A 10,122-nucleotide genomic window follows, 5' to 3' on the forward strand; every position below is an offset into this window, starting at 1 on the left:
CATGCCTCAGCCTTCAGAGTAACTGGGATTACAGGTGTATGCCACCATACCTGGCAAATTTTTAAATTTTTAGTAGAGATGAGCTTTTGCTATTTTGTCTAGGTTGGTTTCAAAATTCTGACCTTGGGTGATCCACCTTTCTCTGCCTCCCAAAGGGCTTGGATTACAGGTGTTAGCCATCATGACCAGCCAGCAATTTACTGCTAAAAAAGCTTTGTTATCTTAGGGATCAGGAAAAGCTGTGTTGCGTAACTGTAACACAATCTTTCTATGTGGCTCTTTACATTGTTTTTACCTGGGCATTGCACACAGTTAACCCATTTATAAATTTTCTGCAAGTGTATTTTGGTCAGTATGTTTTTGTTACATGTATATGTCTATAAAAGAATTAGGGCCTGTGGTATTTTGCTGTGCCATCTTGCTTATGTAGTTTGTACAATTTTATAGGTTAGATTAGTGAAGTATATTTATCTGAGTCTAGCAACTGGAGTAATTTGTTATTTTTATTTCTTTCAGTTACGTGTTCTCATTTTGCTCAAGACCTGTGGCCAGAGCAGGGCATGAAAGATTCCTTCCAAAACTTGATACCGAGAACATATGCAAAGTGTGGAGATGAGAATTTACAACTAAGAAAAAACTGCAAAAGTGTGGATGATGGTAGGATGCACAAAGGAGGTTATAATGGATGCAATCAATGTTTGACATCGACCCAGAGCAAAATATTTCGTGGTGATAAATATGTGAAAGTCTTTTATAAATATCCAAATTCAAATAATAATAAAATAAGATATACTGAAAAAATTCTTTCAAATGTAAATAATGTGGCAAATCATTTTGCATGCTTTCACACCTAACTCAACATAAGAAAATTCATACTAGAGAGAATTCCTACACATGTGAAGAATGTAGCAAAGTCTTTAAATGTTCATGACCCTCACTCAACATAAAAGAATTCACACTAAAAAGACACTGTTCAAATGTGAAGAATGTGGCAAAGCTTTTAAACAGTCCTCAAATCTTACTGAACATAAGAGAATTCCTACTAGAGAGAAACACTACAAATGTGAAGAATTTGGCAAAGATTTTAAGTGGTCTTCAAATCTTCCTGAAAATGAGATAATTCATATTGGAGAAAAACCTTGTAAATGTGAAGAATGTGGCAAAACTTTTAAGTGGTCTTCAAACATTACTGGACATAAGATAATTCATACTGGAGAGAAACTATACAAATGTGAAGAATGTGGCAAAGCCTTTTACTCCTCCTCAAACCTTACTTTACATAAAATGATTCATACTGCAGAGAAAACCTACAAATGTAAAGAATGTGGCAAATCTTTTAGCCAGTACTCACACCTTACTACCCATAAGGGAATTCATACTGGAAAGAAAACCTACAAATGTAAAGAATGTGGCAGAGCTTATAAGTGGTCCTCAAACCTTACTGAACATAAGATAACTCAGAACTGGAGAGAAACCCTACAAATGTGAAGAATGTAGCAAAGCCTTTAACTGGTCCTTACACCTTGCTGTACATAAGATAATTCATACTGAAGAGAAACCCTACAAATGTGAAGAATGTGGCAAAGCCTTTAAATGGTCCTCAAACCTTACTAAGCATAAGATAATTTATACTGGAGAGAAACTCTAGAATTTGAAGAATGTGGCAATGCTTTTAAGTGGTCCTCAAAACTTACTGAACAGCTTTCGGGTGATGACAACCTTCCCACAAGAGGACATGCCTCTCACAAAGGATCTCCTTCATCCCTCTCCAGAAGAGAAGAGGAAACACAAGAAGAAACGCCTGGTGCAGAGCCCCAATTCCTACTTCATGGATGTGAAATGCCCAGGATGCTATAAAGTCACCACGGTCTTTAGTCATGCACAAATGGTAGTTTTGTGTGTTGGCTGCTCCACTGTCCTCTGCCAGCCTACAGGAGGAAAAGCAAGGCTTACAGAAGGATGTTCCTTCAGGAGGAAGCAGCACTAAAAGCACTCTGAATCAAGATGAGTGGGAAACCATCTCAATAAACACATTTTGGATTAAAAAAAACTTACTGAACGTAAGATAATTCATACTTGAGAAAACCTACAAATGTGAAGAATGTAGCAAAGCTTTTACTCATCTCTCAATCCATGCTAAACATAAAATAATTTATGCTGGAGAGAAAACTTACAAATGTAAAGAATGTGGCAAAGCCTGTAACCATTCCTCACATCTTACTACACGTAAGTCATACTGAAGAGAAATTACAAATGTGAAGAATGTGGCAAAGCCTTTAATAAGTCCCCAGATCATACTTGAGAAAAACTTCACAAACCTGAAAGATGTGACAATGCTTTTGACAACACCTCAAACCTTTCTAAACATAAAAGAAATCATACTGGTGAGAAAGTCTAAAAATGTGAGGAATATGACAAAGTCTTTAAATGGTAGTCATGCTTAATTGTAGGTAAGATAATTCATACTGGAGAAAACTTCTACAAGTGTGAAGAATGTGGCAAAACCTTTAACCAATGCTCACACCTTATTGCACAGGAAACCATTTATATTTGAGAAAAATTGTATAAATTTAAAGACTATAGAAAAGCCATTGATATCTGCTCACATCTTACTCAACATCAGAGAGTTCATACTTAATAAAAGCATTATAAATGCAATTACTCTTAAAAGGTCTTTCAGAAAATATAAGCCTATAATGTGAAAAAGTATTTATTCTGAGGACAAACCTTACAAATATAAAAAGGATTGTAGTGTAGCAGGATGAGCCACAGACAAAACTCCTCAGACACTGCGTTAAAGAAGGAAGGGGTTTATTCTGCAGGGGGTATTGGCAAGACTCCTGTCTCAAGAGCCGAGCTCCCTGAGTGAGCAATTCCTGTCCCTTTTAAGGGCTCACAACTCTAAGGGTGTGCACGTGAGAGGGTCATGATTGAGCAAGCAGGGGGTAGATGACTGGGGGCTGCATGCATCGGTAATTAGATCGGAACAAAACAGGATAGGGATTTTCACAGTGCTTTTCTATACAATGTCTGTAATCTATAGATAACATAACTGATTAGGTCAGGGGTCAATCTTTAACTACCAGGCCCAGGGTGTGGCACCGAGCTGTCTGCTCGTGGATTTCATTTCTGCCTTTTAGTTTTTACTTTGTCTTTCTTTGGAGGCAGAAAGTGGGCTTAAAACAATATGAGGGGTGGTCTCCTCCCTTAGTAGTACCTTTACTTGTATCACAGATCTTATTGTATATATTTCATACTAGAGGAAAACCCTAAAGAAGTTGCTCAAACTTTGTTCAATATCAGGAAATTTATACTGGAGAAAAACCCTGCAAATGTAATGAATTTGAAAGAAACACATTTCAAAAACTACAGCTTAGAAAACATCATAGAGTTTATACTAAGATATATTTTTGTAAATGAAGTAAATATAAAAAATACTTCAAAACTAACTTTATGTAAATCACAGAGAATACACAGTAGAAATAAGGCACTTACTCTTCAGACATTACATTAAATCAGAGAGTTGAGTATAGAAAATAATCCCAAACTAAAATTATTTGATAAGTTATTAGTATATAACTTTAAAAGAAGTAGAAGATTTTTTGTAGGGTTATAATTACATTCAAAGTATACTTTTTTATTATTACAGATTTTTTTGAAAAGCAAATAATGATGTAATTTAACTCTCAAATTACTTCATGCTCTCCATTCCTATTGTATTTACATGTGAAAGCATGTGATCAAATATTACTGCATTACAGATATAAGAGATTCTTTTTTATTACGTAGGCATTATTTATGACCTTTTCCATGGAAGAGTAAGAACATTAAAATATAAAACACATAATGAAAATTTAAGTAGAGAGGCTCATTATGGTTAACTTATAATGTTAAGTGATGTATGAGGTAGGTGTTCTGAGTAATATTTTTGTCCACTATAGTGAAAAAAACTTTTTAAGTTTTAGTTAAAATTAATTAAATTAGCAGTAACTTATTAATTGTACTTTTATGTAATATGCAGTACATTTAAAAATTTTTCAGTTATATGTGAATTTAATTTTCTAGTAAAACATTGTTTAAAATGTAACATCTATTGTACATTCAATGAAGTGTTTTTTTTTTTTTTTTTTGAGATGGCGTCCCACTCTGTCACCCAGGCTGGAGTGTGGTGGCATGATCTTGGCACACTGTAACCTCCGCCTCCCAGGTTCAAGCAATTCTCCTGCCTCAGCCTCCCAAGTAGCTGGGATTACAGGCACTTGCCACCATGCCCAGCTAATTTTTGTATTTTTAGTAGAGATGGGGACTCACCATGTTGGCCAGGCTGGTCTCAAACTCCTCACCTCAAGTGATCCACATAAATGGCATATTTTGGTACAGGCATATAATATGTAATAACGACATTAGAGTACATGAGGTATCCATCACCACTAGTATTTGTTCTTTGTATTACAAACAATCCAATTCTACACCTTTAGCTATTTTTAAATGTACAATTGTTATTGAGTACAGGATAAATTTTATGGTCATAATTAAAATTATATAAATAAAATTCATACATATCTGAGTCCTAAAAAAAACTTTCAAAAATTTGTTTTTTATATATATATATTTTTCAACATGTGGCAACTCTGCCTGCAAACACATACATACAGAATTTTAGTTTTGATTTCAATCAGGTTAAATATACACATATATTATTTTAAAGATAACACTAGGTATATGCAAATTATGATGAATGTGTGTGTAAGTATGAGTCAGGGCATATTTTCAGAAGAAAACAATAAATTTTTTTTTTTTTTTGAGACAGAATATCGCTCTGTCGCCCAGGCTGGAGTGCAGTGGAGCGATCTCTGCTCACTGCAAGCTCCTCCTCCTGGGTTCACGCCATTCTCCTGCCTCAGCCTCCCAAGTAGCTGGGACTACAGGCACCCGCCACCACGCCTGGCTAATTTTTTGTATTTTTAGTAGATATGGGGTTTCACCATGTTAGCCAGGATGGTCTCGATCTCCTAACCTCGTGATCCACCTGCCTCGGCCTCCCAAAGTGTTGGGATTACAGGTGTGAGCCACCATGCCCAGCCATAAATTTTTTTATTAAGGCGACTAATTTAGTAGAAAACTAAAAACCTAAAAAATGTGGAAAGCAATTCTATACTGTCTGCTTTGTATTGAATTCTTTAAAATTGTATGGCTTATGGTTCAGAGTCTCCCCATGCAATTTGCCTGGTTTTACTTGCTTGGTACTCTTTGCTAGACCCATAATTTTCTTGTTTCTTATTTTTTTTGTTTTGTAGTTTATGCAGTATTCATTATGTGAGCTGGTCAGGGATTATAATGATTTTTATGAAATTTAATAGTGCACACAAAATAATTTGTAGATGTAATTTTACAATTAGTGTATGAAGTTATGTTTTATTTAATTAGAAGATTCCATTCTGTTCTTTTACTTGGAGAATACTATATAAGCCCACTTTTATTTAGTTACTGTTCCTTTCAGATTTTAAAATTGTCATAAGTTAATTTATTTATTTATTGAGCAAATTTGTTCAGGTAAGTACTAGGGTGGCTTCCATAAGTCAAGAGGATGTTTTTGTATATAAATGCAGCAAATGAACATGGCAGTGCTTGCTGTGTAGCAGATGCTTCATGATAAGCCATAAGTATTCCTCCTGGAGTTAGTTTGTAACTTCAAGTCAGAGAGAGAAAATATCAATGGTGAAGAAATAACGTTGATTTGTCATGTGAAGAGGATTTTTTTTTTTTTTTTTTTTGGCTGCACAGCTGACTCTTGCTGAATTTAAAGAGAAAATCTGCTTTTTTTATTTTTATTTTTGAGATAGAGTTTCGCTCTTGTTACCCAGGCTGGAGCACAAGGCATGATCTCGGCTCACTGCAACCTCTGTCTCTCGGGTTCAAGCGATTCTCTTGCCTCAGCCTCCCGAGTAGCTGGGATTACAGGTATGTGCCACCATGCCTGGCTAATTTTGTATTTTTAGTAGAGATGGGATTTCTCCATGTTGGTCAGGCTGGTCTCGAACTCCCGACCTCAGGTGATCCACCTGCCTTGGCCTCCCAAAGTGCTGGGATTACAGGTGTGAGCCACTGCGCCTGGCCAATTCTACTTCTTATATTACCAAATTATCTCATGTTTGTTTGTCTCATTATCGGCATTCCAACTATGTATGCATCACAGACCTTTTTTTTTCTGTGTTACAGCTACAGTATCCTCACTGTTGTCTTCATGCCATGTCATTTCACACTGTACTTTGTAGGTTTTGATAAGGAAGTTGGTATTTTAGTAATGCACTGAAAAATTAGTTTTAACTGAAGAATTAGCTTATCAATATAACTTTCATATCAGTTAATTAAGAGGCGGCTGGGCACGGTGGCTCATGCCTGTAATCCCAGCACTTTGGGAGGCTGAAGTGGGTGGATCATGAGGTCAGAATTCAAGGCCAGCCTGGCCAAGATGCTGAAACCCTGTCTCTACTAAAATACAAAAATTAGCCCGGCATGGTGGCAGGTGCCTGTAATCCCAGCTACTCGGGAGGCTGTGGCAGGAGAATCGCTTGAACCCCAGGGGGCAGAGGTTGCAGTGAGCCGAGATCGCGCCACTGCATTCCAGTCTGGGCAACAGAGTGAGACTCTGTCTCAAAACAAAACAAAACAAAACAAGCAAACAAACAAAAAATGCATTCACTGTCCACAGGTGAGAGAAATAAATCAGTTAGCACTGTTTTTCTTTGTAACAGAAAAATCTCATTAGATTCTTACACAAAGTGTAAATATAAAATTTGTTAGAAAATATATCTTACAAATTAAGTTTTTAAGACTTATTCACAAGTAAAAAAGTTTTAATTTAATTTTTTATGATATAGCACAACTTATGTTCTCATGCAGAATCTTTTGTCTTTAAGTGATAATGTTAAATTTTGCAAAATAATAAAATGAACCCTGTGGATTTGAAATTCAAAATAATATTTCTGTTTCATATTGATATTACAATTTTGAGGAGTTTCTCTTATTGTATATAAGATTTTTAGTGGATGAAGTTCAGTCTACAGTTTTTATTCTTCGTCACCTAACTGTAGCCAACACCTTGCTCATTTTTTTTTTTTTCTGGAAAAAATTTTAAAGATCATAGCAGCTTTTTGATTAAAACATTTTCCGTTATTTTGCACGCAAACTTGTTTACTGTATTCACAGAGTGCCCTGTTATGGGACCATAAGCAACACCTGCTTTCTTAGTGTCTTTTATACCTTTATTATCAGCACCAAAAACTTCATGTGCCCTCAAGCTTAAAATAAAAGCCCTAATGTACATTGGCTTCTCCCATGCACTGTGCTGGGTTCAGAACATGCTGATAAATATCAGAGTTTCTGTGATTGTGACTGAGAAATTAAATGGCAGGAGCAGCACAGAAACCATATGTTTTTGATACTATTTAGCCAAATCAATGACAAAGAGACAGTATTTTACACACTGGTATTCTTCTGTAATATTTTTAAAATATCTTTTTAACTTGACAGATAAGCATATTTATTCTGTAAAACATGATGTTTTAAAGTATATATACATTGTTAAATGCTTAATTTTAGGTAATTAATGCTTCACCTCACATAGTTAAAATTTTTATGGTGAGACCACATTGACATTGTCTTAGCATTTTAAAAAAATATAATAAATTATTATTTTTTTCTTATTTTATGTTCCAGAGTAGATGTGCAAGTTTGTTACATAGGTGAATGTGTTACATAGGTAAATGTGTGCCATGGTGGTTAGCTGCACCTATCAACCCATCACCTAAGTATTAAGCCCGGTGTGCATTAGCTGTTTTTCCTGATGCTCTTCCTACCCTGCCCTCTCCTGACAGGCCTCAGTGTGTGTTGCTTCTCTCCTGGTGTCCATGTGTTCTTATTGTTTAGCTTGCACTTACAAGTGAGAACAGGACGTGTTTTGCCTTCTGTTCTTGTGATAGTTTGCTGAGGATAATGGCTTCGAGCTTCATTCATGTCTCTGTGAAGGACATAATCTCACTACTTTTCATGGCTGTATAGTATTACATTGTTTATATGTACCAAGTATTCTTTAACTAGTCTATCATTAATGGGCATTTGGGTTGATATCATGTTTTTGCTATTGTGAATAGTGCAGCAATGAACATACACATGCATGTATCTTTATAATAGAATGATTTATATTATTTTTAGTATATACCAAGGAATGGAGTTGCTGGGTCAAATGGTGTTTCTGGTTTTAAATCTTTCAGGAATTGCCACACTGTCTTTTCTAATAATTGAACTAATTTACATTCCTACCAACAGTATATAAGCATTCCTGTTTCTCTGCAACATAGCCAGCATCTGTTGTTTCTTGACTTTTTAATAACCACCATTCTGACTGACATGAAATGGTATCTCATTGTGGTTTTGATTTGCATTTCTCTGATGATTAGTGATGGTGAGCTTTTTCTCACAGGTTTGTTAGCTACATGTATGTCTTCTTTTGAAAAGTGTTTGTTCAGCCAGGTGCAGTGGCTCACGCCTGTAATCTCAGCACTTTGGGAGGCCGAGGGTGGGGGGGGGGTCAGACCATGAGGTCAGGAGTTCGAGACCAGCCTGACTAACGTGGTGAAACCCTGTATCTACTAAAAATACAAAACTTAGCTAGGCGTGGTGGCACATGCCTGTAGTCCCAGCTATTCAGGAGGCTGAGGCAGGAGAATCACTTGAACCCAGGAGGAGGAGGTTGCAGTGAGCCAAGATCATGCCACTGCACTCCAGCCTGGGTGACAGCAAGACTCCATCTCAAGAAAGAATAAAGTGTTCATGTTCTTTGCCCAGTTTTTTATAGGGTTGTTTGTTTTTTTTCTTATAAATTTGTGTAAGTTCCCTCTAGATTCTGGATATTAGACCTTTGTAAGATAGATTGCAAAAATTTTCTCCTTTTCTGTAGGTTGTCTGTTTGGTCTGATGATAGTTTCTTTTTATGTGCAGAAGCTCTTTAGTTTAATTAGATCCTAATTCATCAATTTTTGCTTTTTGTGCAAATGCTTCTGATGATTTTATCATAAAATATTTCCCCATGCCTATGTCCTCAATTGCATTGCCTAGATTCTTTTCCAGGGTTCTTATAGTTTTGGGCTTATATTTAAGTCTTCAATTCAGCTTGAGTTATTTTCTATGAGATATAAGGAAGAGGTCCAGTTTCAATTTTCTACATATGGCTAGCCAGTTCTCCCAGCATGATTTATTAAATAGAAAAAAATTTTTTCCATTGCTTGTTTTTGTCAAGTTTGTTGAAGATCAGATGGTTGTAGACACGCAGTTTTATTTCTCATTTCTCTATTCTGTTCTATGTGGCCTATGTGTCTGTTTTTGAAATGGTACCATTCTTGTTTTAGTTACTGTAGCCTTGTAGTATACTTTGAAGTCAGGTAATGTAATGCCTTCAGCTCTGTTCTTTTTGCCTAAGATTGTCCTGGCTATATGGGCTATTTTGTTTGTTTGTTTGTTTGTTTGTTTTGAGACAGAGTCTCACCCTGTCACCCAGGCTGGAGTGCAATGGTGCTATCTCAGCTCACTGCAATCTCCGCCTCCTGGGTTCAAGTGATTCTCCTGCCCCAGCCTCCTGAGTAGCTGGGAATTCAGATGCCCACAACTATGCCCAGCTAATTTTTGTATTTTTAGTAGAGATGAGATATCATCATGTTAGACTGGTCTCAAACTCCTGACCTCAGGTGATCTGCCTGCCTCGGCCTCCCAAAGTGCTGGGATTACAGGTGTGAGCCATCACACCCAGTCTATGGGCTCTTTTTTGGTTCCATACAAATTTTAATATAGCTTTTCCTAATTCTGTGAAGAATGTCAATGGTAGTTTAATGGGAATACCATTGAATCTATAAATTACTTTGAACAGTATGGCCATTTTCACAATATTGATTCTTCCTATCCATGTGCATAGAATGTTTTTTCATCTGTTTTTGTCCTCTAATTTCCTTGAGCAGTGTTTTGTAGTTCTCCTTAAGGAGGTCTTTCACTTTCCTTGTTAGCTGTATTCCTAGGTACTTTATTCTTTTTGTGGCAATTGTGAATGGGATTTCATTCACAATTTGGCTC

At 36.3% G+C, this 10,122-nt stretch overlaps 3 pseudogenes; all 3 read left to right on the forward strand.

Annotated features, from left to right (window-relative positions):
* LOC100131479 (zinc finger protein 430 pseudogene) lies at window positions 514-1,493 on the forward strand (annotated as a pseudogene).
* Window positions 1,702-2,044, forward strand: RPS27P29 (ribosomal protein S27 pseudogene 29; annotated as a pseudogene).
* Window positions 6,962-7,514, forward strand: VN1R93P (vomeronasal 1 receptor 93 pseudogene; annotated as a pseudogene).

The sequence above is a fragment of the Homo sapiens genome, chromosome 19 (genome assembly GCF_000001405.40).
Source record: "Homo sapiens chromosome 19, GRCh38.p14 Primary Assembly".
Classification (NCBI taxonomy): Eukaryota; Metazoa; Chordata; class Mammalia; order Primates; family Hominidae; genus Homo; species Homo sapiens.